This window comes from Homo sapiens, chromosome 1 (genome assembly GCF_000001405.40).
Source record: "Homo sapiens chromosome 1, GRCh38.p14 Primary Assembly".
Taxonomy (NCBI): Eukaryota; Metazoa; Chordata; class Mammalia; order Primates; family Hominidae; genus Homo; species Homo sapiens.
The window spans coordinates 145772350-145785655 of NC_000001.11; the positions used below are offsets into that span (position 1 = coordinate 145772350).

At 39.4% G+C, this 13306-nt stretch overlaps 1 protein-coding gene across 6 annotated transcripts in view; it reads right to left on the minus strand.

Moving 5' to 3' along the window:
- RNF115 (ring finger protein 115) overlaps positions 1–13306 on the minus strand; it is an 85228-nt gene that overhangs the window by 33482 nt on the left and 38440 nt on the right. For all 6 annotated transcript variants that reach the window (XM_047418027.1, NM_014455.4, XM_047418024.1 and 3 more), the window contains one exon: positions 12190–12247. Coding sequence is in view for 3 of the 6 variants with exons in the window: in NM_014455.4 (NP_055270.1) it covers positions 12190–12247 (58 nt within the window). In the remaining 3 variants the exon portion in view is untranslated. The remainder of the gene's footprint in view (positions 1–12189; positions 12248–13306) is intronic.

Below are 13306 nucleotides of genomic sequence, written 5' to 3' on the forward strand. Positions count from 1 at the left end.
AAATTTAATAGATCTGTGGTGAGCCTGAAGACTCCTTTTAGCATTTCTTACAGGGCAGGTCTATTAACAATGAAGCCCCCTCAGCTATTGTTTATCTGGGTATGTCATGATTTCTTCTTAATTCCTGAAGGATAGTTTTGCCAGATTTAGAATTCTTGGTTGGCAGGTCTGTCTTTCATCACTTTAAATATGTTATCCCACTGCCTTCTAGCCTCCATGGTTTCCGCTAAGAAATCAACAGAAATTCATCTTATTTAAGATCCCTTATATTTTACAAGTTGCTTCTCTCTTGCTGCTTCCAAGATTCTCTCTTTATCTCTGGCTTCGGAAATTTTAATTATAATGTGTCTTGTATGGATGTCTTTGAGTTTATCCTTCTTGGGTGTTAGCTGAGCTTCTTGATGTGTATATTCATGTCTTGTCAAATTTGAAATGGTTTTGGCAATTACTTCTTAAACATGTTTTCTGCACCTTTCTCCCTCTCCTTACCATGATATATATGTTGGTATCCCACACATCTCCTGGACTCTGTTCATTTTTCTTCAGTCTTTTAAATGTGTGCTCTTCAAACTATATAATTTCAGTGGACCTATCTCCAAGTTTGCTGATTCTTCTGTCTGCTCATATCTTTTGTTGAGCTCCCCTAGTGAATTTTCATTTCAATTATTGTAACCTTCAGCTCCAAAATTTCTCTTTGCCTACTTTTAAAAATTTCTCTTTATTGATATTCTCTATTTGTTGAGACATTATTATCTTGAATTCCTTTACTTCTTTGTCCATGGTGTCCTTTAGCTCTTTGAGTATACTTAAGACAGCTGATTTAAAGTTTTTGTCTAGTAATTCTAGTATTAGTGCTTCCTCGGGGTAGTTTCTGTTCATTTCTTTTTTCTTGTGAATGAAGCATATTTTCTAGATTCTTCACATGCTTCGTAATTTTTTTTAAAAAAACTGAACATTTATAATGTGTAAAAAATAAAAACAAAAATAGATGGGTACAGTGGTGTGTGCCTGTAATTCCAGCTACTCAGGAAGCTGAAGTGGAAGGATCGCTTGAACCAACGAGTTCAAGATTAGCCTGAGCAAGGCAAGACCACATTTCAAAACAAATAAACCAAAAAGAAAAAAAAAAGAAAGAAAAAGAAAAGTAAAATGCTCGCCAGGTCTCTACTGATTAGCTGTTGGGGCACTCCTTCAAAACTTACCCAGGGCCTTTATAAATCTACCTTAATATTCACTTCCTGTTTGTGTTGAACCTAAAGACAAGCCAGAGGTGAAAGCTAATGGCCTTCTCAGGTCTTTTCTGAGCACACATACTGCCCTGAGCTGTGCACTTGGCTTTCTAGTTTCTCATCCACAATAGCTTTTCAAAGCTCCTATTCCTCTACAAAAACTCACTCTACAGCTTTTCCTCTCAGGCTTTCAATATCTTATTGTTTGCCCTGTTTTTTTTTTTTCTTTTTTTGGTTTTTTTGTTTGTTTTTTGCCCCTGGTGGCAGTCCTTTGGAGAAAGGACAAAACAGAACACAGAATCCCTCAGGAGGAAGAGTGTCCACTCTCTGGAATCAGGCACCAGCATGGGGAACACAGGCTGTCATCTTCAAGACTGCAGCCATACCAGGAAGGGAGGTGAGGCTAGGGTAAGCTAAAATGCCACAAAGATCTCTTACCTTGTTTCAGTGCCCTTTCTTCTGGCGAAGTATTTGCTTGGCTGCTGTAAACCTTTGATTACCTTTCCAGAGTTTTGATAAGCTAAATTCTGACTTTTCTGTCAAGGTGTTTGGTGTTTCTGCAGAGGGATGACCCACAGAAGTCCTACTCTACCATTTTCGCTGACATCACCCTGTCATTGTGGTTTTAGTTTGCTTTCCCTGATACGAATATACCAATAAGGCTAAACATCTTGTCATGTAATATTTACCAGCCATTCATATGTCTTCTCTTTCCCCCAACATTTTTTTTTTTTTTGGTGTTTTAGAAATCCAGACATTTCTTTCTTTTTTTTTCTTTTTTTCCTTTTTGAGATGGAGTCTTGCTCTGTTGCCCAGGCTGGGGTGCAGTGGCACGATCTCGGCTCACTGCAACCTCCACCTCCTGGGTTCAAGCCATTCTCCTGCCTCAGCCTCCCGAGAAGCTGGGATTACAGGCATGTGACACCACGCCCCGCTAATTTTTTATATTTGCAGTAGAGATGGGGTTTCACCATGTTGGCCAGGCTGGTCTCAAACTCCTGACCTCAAGTGATCCGCCCACCTCGGCCTCCCAAAGTGCTGGGATTACAGGCGTGAGCCATGGCGCCCAGCCACATTTATTTCTTAAATTTAAACTCAGTGTTAAATCACACTGAGTTTACTTTTTCAGTACTCATCAGTTGTTTCAATTAAATCAGTTTTAAATCTCTATTCTTTCTCTTTTATGTCTTATCTTGTTTCATGTCTTTTGTCCATTTTCCTATTGAACTGACTTTCTAATTGCCTTAGTATCTTTTTTTTAAAATTCTATATTTTAATAGTTAATTCCTGCTAACAGAAACGCAACTGATTTTTGTATATTGACCTTAGTATACAGAAAATTTGCTGAACTCTTAATAATTTGTGTACCTAGAAAACCCAAAAACAGGCTGGGCACAGTGGCTTATGCCTGTAATCCTAGCACTTTGGGAGGCCAAGGCAGGAGGATCGCTTGAGCCCAGGAGTTCAAGACCAGTCTGGGCAACAGAGTGAGATCCTGTCTCTACAAAAAATTTAAACATTAGCTAAGTGTGGTAGCAAGCACCTGATGTTCCAGCTACTCGGGAGGCTGAGTGGGGAGGATCACTTGAACCCAGGATCTTGAGCTCAAGCTCATGAGGTCAAGGTTACAGTGAGCTATACAGAACCCTAATTATATGCTATGTTTTTTCCTATACACACATACCTACAGTAAAGTTTAATTTATAACTTATAACTTAATTTATAACTTAGACATAGTAAGAAATTAACAACAATAACTAATAATAAAATAGAACAGTTATAACAATATATAATAATAAAAGTTTTGTGAATGTGGCCTTTTTTTTTTTTTTTTGAGACAAGGTCTCAACTCGGTCGCTCAGGCTGGAGTGCAACGCCGTGATCATGGTTCACTGCAGCCTCAATCTCCTAGGCTCAAGTGATCCTCCCACCTCAATCTCCCAAGTAGCTAGGACTACAGGGATGTACCATCACACTCAGCTAATTAAAAAAAAAAATTCTTTTTAGAGATAAGGTCTAATTTTGTGGCTGGTCTCAAACATCTGGCTTAAAGTAATCCTCCTGCCTCGGCCTCCCAAAGTACTGGGATTGAACCATGAGCCTCTGTGCCCCACTTTAAAATATCTTATTGTAACCGGGCGCAGTAGCTCAAGCCTATAATCCCAGCCCTTTGAGAGGCTAAGGCGGTGGGGGGGATCACTGAGGCCAGAAGTTCGAGATCAGCCTGGCCAACATGGTGAAACCTTGTCTCTACTAAAAAAATTAAAAAATTAGCCGGGCATGGTGGCATATGCCTGTAGTCCCAGCTACTCAGGAGGCTGAGGCATGAGAATCACTCAAACCCAGGAGGCAGAGGTTGCAGTGAGCCGAGATCACTCCATGGCACTTCAGCCTGGGCAACAGAGCAAGACCCTGTCTCAAAAAAATAAAAATAAAAATAAAAATAAATAAAATAAAATATCTTATTGTACTATACTCACCTGTTTTCAGGCCATGGTTGACCACAGGGTAAGGGGGGGGCTACTGTACCAATTCAGACTCCTACCAGAGTATAAATGCTTACATTTACCCCTACTCTGACCAACATTTTTTTTTTTTTTTTTTGAGAAGGAGTCTCGCTCTGTCACCCAGGCTGGAGTGCAGTGGCACCATCCTGGCTCACTGCATACTCCGCCTCCCAGGTTCAAGCCATTCTGCTGCCTCAGCCTCCAGAGTAGCTGGGATTACAGGTGTCTGCCACCATGCCCGACTAATTTTTTATTTTCAGTAGAGATGGGGTTTCACCATGTTGGCCAGACTGGTCTTGAACTCCTGACCTCAGGAGATCCACCTGCCTCGGCCTCCCAGAATGCTGCAATTACAGGCATTAGCCACTGCACCCAGCCTGACCAACATTTTTTTAAAGTTTTAAAAATTCTAATATATAAGCTGAAGAACAAAGAGTAATATGCAGAGTAAAAACATCAATTAGATTTCTCAGCCAGGCACAGTGGCTCACATCTGTAATCCCAGCACTCTGGGAGGCTGAGGCGGGTGGATCACCTGAGGTGAGGAGTTCAAGACCAGCCTAGCATGGTGAAACCCCGTCTCTACTAAAAATACAAAAAGTTAGCTGGGCGTGGTGGAGCATGCCTGTAATCCCAGCTACTCGGGAAGCTGAGGCAGGAGAATTGCTTGAACCCGGGAGGCAGAGGTTGCAGTGATCTAAGATCGCGCCATTGCACTCCAGCCTGGGCAACAAGAGTGAAACTCTGTCTCCAAACAAAAAGATTTCTCTAAATACTGGTGACATAAAACACCTTTTCATTTTAACTGCCATTTGCGCTTCTTATCAAATCTGCCTTATTTCCCTTTACTTTCTAATTATAGTCTTCATCTATTAGAGATCACTGGTTTCTAGTCTGAAAAACGGTCTAGAACACAAGAATTCTCTTGACCCAAAATTCCAAAGTAAACACGACATTTAAAAACCTAAAACTATACTTGTCTTCAATAAGTGAAAAAGTACGAGCAGACTCCTCCATGTTCTCAATCATCTATCTCACTAAGGTGAATTATAAGAAATCTATGATTCCCTTACTATATACAATTCCACAACATTTGCTCACAGAAGACAACTCTCAAAGTAACCATTAGTTTCATTATAATATAAAAATGAAATATTTAAAATCTTGACTGGCAGAAAAGTCAAGCACCAAGTTCATAATACTCTGCTTTGATACTAACATACTTTAGATGACTATAAATTGTTACCACACCTAATAATATACAAAATTTCTAAAGGATCCATGCTTAAAAACAGCTTCAACATCAGCATGAGGCATTTTCCTACTAGTATACAAAGTGCAAATTAGTGCAAATTAATAGTAACAGTCAATGTATTTGTGGCCTATTTTAATCTCAAAATAATAGTGTACCCTGACCAAAGAACACAGGATGGAAAAGCACACCTCACAAATTTATACCAAATCAGCACTAAGGATAAAAATAGCTTCAGGTCATTTGTCTCTGAGTAGACTTAGATAAGCATAAAAGAAAAAAAAAATAGCTCATACAACAAAACTGGGTATTCAGGACACAGCTTACATAAGTAAAAACTAATAGGGAACACTATCATAGAGTTTTGCTAAAACAGTCTAAAGAATCACAGAGACAGTTTGACAAGTTTTGCCTTGAAAAACTGAAAACATTACTCTGAATGTAAGTATAATGACAGTATTTCTGAAAATATTTGGGGTGAACTATTTACACATTCAAAATAAAAAACAGGATGGACAATATCTTCCATTTGGCAGAACTTGCTCTACACTAACCATGATCACATCAGCACTTCTTAAAATATTATGGTCTGTTCCTCAATGAGTTGAACAGTTACCATATGACGCAGCAATTTCACTCCTAGTTATATAACCAAGAAAATTAAAAACATATGATCACACAAAAACTTGTACAAAAATATTTACAGCAGCATTATTATCCATAACAGGCAAAAAGTGTAAACAACCTAAATGTCCATCAACTGATGAATAAATAAAATGTGGAATATCCATACCATGTAGTATTATCCAGCCATAAAAATGAAGTACTGATACATGCTACAGCATGGATGAACCTTGAAAACAGTATTCTAATTAGAAAAGAGTCAGTCACAAAGGTTCACATATTGCATGATTTCATTTATAACAAATATCCTATATAGGCAAATCCATAGAGACAGAAAATAGATTGGTGGTTGCCTAGGGCTGAGAGAACTGTGGAGAAATATGTAGTGACTACTAATGTGTATGGGGATTCTTTTGGGGATGATGAAAAAGTTCTAAATCAGTGGTAATAGTTGTATAACTCTGTGAATATACTAAAACCACTTAGCTGTACACTTTAACAGGGTGAATTACGTAGTATATGAATTATATCTCAAAAAATAATATTAGAGTGTATAAAGATGAGTCAATTAAGGGTAAATAATTTTATAATTATTAACCTTAGAAATGTAATCTTGAAAAAGTTCACAGGCGATTTTGTGAAAACATTAAAGCAAAGTAAGGAAGATACTCATCACCCCGAAATGTTTCCTCGTGTGCCTTTGTAATCCTTCCCTCCTGCCCCTTCCCATCCCCAAGCAACCCCTGATCTTTCTGTGGTTTGCATTTTCTAGAATTTTATGTAAAGGGCATCATATTGTATGTACTTTTCAACAGAGGAATGATGTAGCTGATTAGTGAATAGCAAAGTCTAATCTCTAGTGATTTCGCATTTCTCCAGCAAGTGGAGTTCATGTATTAGGAAGTTGCACAAATGCAAAGTACATTGTTCTGATTATGTGTGCCTGCTTTGCAGCCTCTAATTCTCAGGTAGGTCATCCTGTATAAACTTAGGATGTCCATTTGACCACAGTTCAACTTTGTGTTCCAATTCAGCTGAATAAAAATTAAATTTTTATATCCATCTGTCTGGTGTTCTATGTTTTCTCAGTATGTTCTAGACTCAGGTAAAGGAAGTATGATCGATGATCAACCATCATATATAACTAGACATGCCTAACACAGGATAATAGTTTAATAAATATAATGTAGCCATTAAAGAATATGAAGTCCTAATTTTTTTTTTTTTTTTGGAGACAGGGTCTCACTCTGACACCCAGGCTGGGGTGCAGTGGCACGAGCTCAGCTCACTGCAACCTCTGCCTCCCAGGCTCAAGAGATTCTCCCACCTCCGCTTCTCGAGTAGCTGGGACTACACACATATGCCACTACACCTGGCTTTTTATTTTTATTTTTGTAGACACAGGGTTTTACCATGTTGCCCAGGCTGGTCTTGAACTCCTGGGCTCAAACAATCCGCCTGCCTCCGCCCTCCCAAAGTGCTAGGATTACAGGCATGAGCCACCACGTCCAGCTATAATTCTAATAACTATAGAGAGACAAGTAAAAGGTTTATGACATAATACCAAGTAAATTTTTAGAGGCAGAAATACAATATACTCTTATGACAGCAACTCTAAACAGTTATGAGGTATGCACATGAGAAATGAGAAGTATTTTGCTAAAAAATGCATAAAGCTATAATCAAGTAATGACAATATGGGATATTTCTTTATTTTTTGAAACGGAGTCTCGCTCTGTTGCTCAGGCTAGAGTGCAGTGGCACAATCTCAGCCCACTGCAACCTCCGCCTCCTGGGTTCAAGCGATTCTCCTGCCTCAGCCTCCCGAATAGCTGGGATTACAGGTGCCCGCCACCACACCTGGCTAATTTTTGTATTTTTAGTAAAGACAGGGTTTCATCACATTGGACAGGCTGGTCTGGAACTCCTGACCTCAAGTGATCTGCATGCCCGGCCAATATTTCTCATTTTTAAAAAAGCTTAGGCCCAGGCACGGTGACTCAAGCCCGTAATCCCAGCACTCTGGGAGGCCAAGACGAGAGGATGACCTGAGGTCAGGAGTTCCAGACCAGCCTGGCCAACGTGGTAAAACCCCATCTCTACCAAAAATACAAAAATTAGCCAGGTTTGGCGGCGGGGGCCTGTAATCCAAGCTACTCGGGAGGCTGAGGTGAGAGAATCACTAGAACCCAGGAGGCAGAGGTTGCAGTAAGCCGAGATCGTGCCATTGCACTCCAGCCTGGGCAACAGAGCGAGACCCCGTCTCAAAAAAACAAACAAAAAAGAGCTTAAGGTTGTTATTTTTCAGTAACTATGCCTTAGGACAAAATCTGAAAGGAAATGTATGGAAAAGGGAGCTCTTAGAATAGTGAAACTCGGCCGGGCGCAGTGGCTCACACCTGTAATCCCAGCACTTTGGGAGACCAAGGCGGGCAGATCACGAGGTCAGGAGATCGAGACCATCCTGGCTAACACGGTGAAACCCCGTCTCTACTAAAAATATAAAAAATTAGCCAGGCGTGGTGGCACGCGCCTGTGGTCCCAGCTACTCAGGAGGCTGAGGCAGGATAATCGCTTGAACCCAGAAGGCGGAGGTTGCAGTGAGCCGAGATTGCGCCACTGCACCCCAGCCTGGGCAACAGAGTGAGACTCCGTCTAAAAAAAAAAAAAAAAAAAAAAAAGTGAAACTCAAGATACATATTTTTAAATTTTTTACTGCCACTATAATGCTGCTTATGTAACAAAAACAAATAACAAATTTTATTTAAATACATATAAATCAGCTCAGAGCACCCTGCCCTCTTGTGCATACCTGAGAGCTCTTTTTTCCAGAAAGCCATGTATCTTATTTTCTCCCAATCTGAGGCAGCAGCCAGAGCCACTCTTGCACTGAAGCAATCCATTCAGGTAAGCTGAGACTCTAAGATCAGATGACCCACTGGCACCAGGTCGTGGTCAGAAGTTTGCAAGTAATCAATGAAACCTTCAGGTAGCTATGGGGCTCACTTTCTAGATTACCACCAGGAAGCTTAGTATAGCAATGTCTTCTCTCTACAAACTGCTAGCAATATTTTCAGATTCACTCTCCACCGGCCCTCACACATTATTCAAACACTGCTCCCATGTAACTGGCAACCCTCCCCTACCTTCTCTCTATCCCATTAGTCTCTTATCTCCTACCCCAGTCTCATTTTTTTAAAAAAAAGTCAATACTGATTTTGACAGAAATTTTCTTGGAATAAGCCTCTTCTAATATAGACAGTATTTTAAGAATTCAGCTATCAGTAAATGTTACTTATAGAAAATAACCACTTCATTGTACAAGCAGCTCCAGCTAAAGAAAAATAGAGCAAAACTGAGCATAAGTCTTTGCCGAAATTACCAACTAAAGCAGGGAAAAGAAAAACAACTTTAGTTTCTATATATAATTTTATTTCTAAGTTTTTTCTTCAGGGACATGAGCATAAAACCTTATAGCTTATGAATACTATTTTGAGATAATTTTCACATCTTTGCTTATCTAAATTCCACCTACTCTTCAAGGCTCCAGTGCAAGTTCTAACTTCACTATGAAGTCTTAATAATGGCTAAAATGTATCAAGCACTCACTAGATGGTAGGCACATTGCGGTCTACACACCTAGCATGTATTAACTCATTTAATCCTCGTAACATCCCTATGAGGGAAGGATGATTATTTCCCAATTTACAGACAAGGACAAGAGAGGCACTGAGAGATTCTAAGTAACTTTGCCCAGATTACACAGCCAATAAGTGGCAGACACAGGATTTGAGCTCAGGCAATCTGGTTCCAGAGGCTGTGTTCTTAATCACTGTTATATGACCTCTCCTCAAGACCCTGGCCCACCTTAACTCTTCCTTCTACTATACTTGTTACATATACCCCAGAATAAATTTATTATACTCTGTACACTTTTCCTTTTTTTTTTTTTTTTTGGAGATAAGAGTTTCACTCTTATTGCCCAGGCTGGAGTCCAGTGGTGCAATCTCCGCTCACTGCAACCTCCGCCTTCTGGGTTCAAGCAATTCTCCTGCCTCAGCCTCCCAAGTAGCTGGAATTACAGGCGCCCACCACCATGCCTGGCTAATTTTTTGTATTTTTTAGTAGAGATGGGGTTTCACCATGTTGGCCAGGCTGGTCTTGAACTCCCAACCTCCCGTGATCCACCTGCCTCGGCCTCCCAAAGTGCTGGGATTACAAGCGTAAGCCACCACGCCCAGCCTTCCTTGTTTTCTTAAGTGTTTGCACTTGCTCCACAACAAAATTAAGTTCCTTTCAGGCAAGGCAACCATGACATTTACTTCCTGCCCCTATTTCTAGGAGAGTGCTATGTATGAAACATTCAGTATATACTTTCAGCCAGGCACAGTGACACCTGCCTGTAATCCCAGCTACTAGGGAACCTGAGGTGGGAGGATCACTTAAGCTCAGAAGTTCGAGTCCAGCCTGGGCAATAAGGCCCCATCTCTTAAAAACACACACACACACACTTCTTAGCTAATTTATTAAAAATCCCTGGCAACATCTAAAGAACACGAAGTTACAAGCTATGAATCAGCAAAAATACTTTAACACCTGAAGGATAACTCATGCCATCAGTGTTGGATTTAGCATTACTAAAGTTAGGAAACTGACTACATATATTTGTTTTTCTTCTTACTCAATGCATCTCTTTCTGGTGAGTCATACCTACAAAATTGGCAGACCGATCTATTTCCATTACCTAAAAGAGAACACTAAAGAAAAATCAAATGAAATTTCTTCTTCTGCATATGCCTAATCAGTAAGTGACAATCTGTGTTATCACAAATAGCACACACAAGAGGAAAGAATACTGAAATCATAAAGGCTTCCAGGACTGGCAAACAGAATACATTTTATTGTATTTTACTTTTTTGAGATGGAGTCTCGCTCTGTCACCCAGGCTGGAGTGCAGTAGTGCGATCTCGACTCACCTCAACCTCTGCCTCCCGGGTTCAAGCGATTCTCGTGTCTCAGCCTACCATGTAGCTAGGATTACAGGCTCATGCCACCATGCCCAGCTAATTTATTGTATTTTTAGTAGAGATGGGGTTTCACCATGTTGGCTAGGCTGGTCTCGAACTCCAGACCTCAGGTGATCTGCTCACCTCGGCCTCCCAAAGTGTTGCGATTACAGGCGTGAGCCACTGTGCCTGGCCCAGAACACATATTAAATAATGTTTTTCAATCCATTAAAATGGGAAAATAAAAATGCAAGTTCAAAACACGATCTGTCTGGAATCACTCTAATCAACCCGGGCAGTTCAGAGTTAACCAAAACTCTTAATACTGTATATTAAGAAGTAGCACAGACCATAAGCAGAAAAACCACCCTAAATAGAACAGGACCATTACCCAGACAATGTTGATAAATCTAACAACATCAAAATGTGGGGGCTACAGGTCTTAAAATAATTTTCAAATAATAAGGGAGAGAAGCTTAGGGTTTTACAGGCTTCTTATTAAATATCACTTTTCAAATATACTACTAGTACAATTTCAATTTACATACAAAACAGTGAAATATTTTGCTATCTCTCTAGGCACTTCGGCTATCTCTGGAAAAGGCTAATGTGATCCTAAAACATAAAGAAATCCTGATTATGGGATTTAACTTATTTCTTCCTTTTAGCATCTGTCAGCTTTCTAGAGCTGAACAAGTTGTATGGCAATATAGGGTACACATACAAACAAGCAAAAGAAAAACGTCAGTGTTTTTTATAGGCTGACTGGTACCTTCTGGGTTGTAGTCTCTAAATGATTAAAAACAAAGAGTATTAATGCCACTGAATTATACACTTAAGAACAGTTACAATGGTTTCTTTTTTTAAAAAAAAAAAACACAACTAAAGAGACTTTAGGTCAATGGACGAAGTGAAAAAAGAAAATTACTCTGGATTCAATATAAAATGGTATTCAAGAATGAAGACTAATGCCCTGTTTTCAAATCACAGTTAAGATTTGTTTTTCCCAAAAAATATGGACGCCACATTATAAGAAGATATAGAAATTATTTACAGACCCCATCTTGGGATCTGAAAGGCAAGTAAACATCCTTAATCTACACCAAACTACTGTGTTGACTAGAGGTAAGCCCTGGAAATCAGTACCTCTGTACAAGGTTGAAGACTATTTCATTGTGACTTCGACAACTTATCCTGGCCTGCACTTTACCTGGTTGTCACACCACTAAAGCAGAGTCTGCAACACTGTTATTTCAAAAACAGCAAAAGCTTCTTATTCTCACACTGTATATACAATAACAAAGTAGAAAACAAGAATTAAAAACACTACCAGTTTAAAAGAATACAGTTTGAGGCTATTACTTTCTCCTAATCAAGGGTTTATCAAAGGTAACACGCCCAAGCCCCAGCTACTGAAAACACAAATCTTCCCAAGGGTTACTACGGCCCACATTTTTTCTTATACATTCAGTTAAACTCTGATGTTGTGCCACACTGGAAAGTTAGTATCTGCCATGATTTTAACACCTAACCACTTCTTAAAGAATTCCTACAGCTAAAGGAAAACTTACCTCTGCAAAATGTGTTGTTGTGGTATTGTCTATCCGACTGCCGCCACCACCTAAAAAACTAAAGAGAAAAGGAATGAGTGGTGATTCTATTCCCAGGAACAAGCTCCCCTCCCAGAAGCTAAATATAGAATGGCATAATGAGAACAAAGCCCAATAAGGAAAAATAACTCATCCCAACACAACACCTATTAAAGGAAATTATGAATAACTGGCATGTGAATTAATCTATGAAAAGTATCATAAACCACAAAATCAAGTGGTTTTCAAGGCTAAATCCAGTGAAAAATTGGAGAAGCCACCATAGAGAAGGAAGGAGGACCCACAGGCAGCAATGCAATTCGGATTTGACCTATCAAAAGACAAATATTTATCCTCAAGAACGCTAACAAAACAAAATGTTTCACTAAAAAACCATTCAACCACCAGATGAACACAACATTTGAGGCTACAATAGTTAATATTTCTTAGGAATGATTAAATGTAGTAATGTAAGGGGCCTGGTACTGTATTTAAAACATTATAAAAGGATTCAATAAATATTTCTCCCCCTACCCACCTTTCAGGACCCATCTCAAATGCTACCTCCTCCATCAAGCCCTTCTGAACTCACCAACCAAATAAGACTCTTCCACACCCTTCTGCACTCTCACTTTGATTCTAAAACCTACCTTGTATTATAAATATCTAGGATTTGCCACATCCATTTCAACCCATTTCCCTCCTTCATTAATATAAATTCAGAAGGCAAAGACTGCAATTTATTAATGCCTCAAATACATGTAGAGTGTTTAAGTGTCAGACATTACACAGTACTATCACCTTTTAAAATCCTGCAATGTCAATATCCTATATTGACACTCAAAAGTTGTTGAATTAATCACATGTGAAAATGATAAAATAACTATCTATTCCCAAAGACCCTGAAGAGTGGAGAGAAATATTAAATCCCATTGTCCCCATGAAATTTGCAAAGAACAAAGAAAACAAGTTAACACATCCGGGAAGAGGGGATGGAAAGAATCACAGGAACTGCTGGATACCACTTTTACTTCAAGAGACACACTTAAGCACACAAACATACAAACACTCACCCCAATGGTAAGTTCACAAACTACTA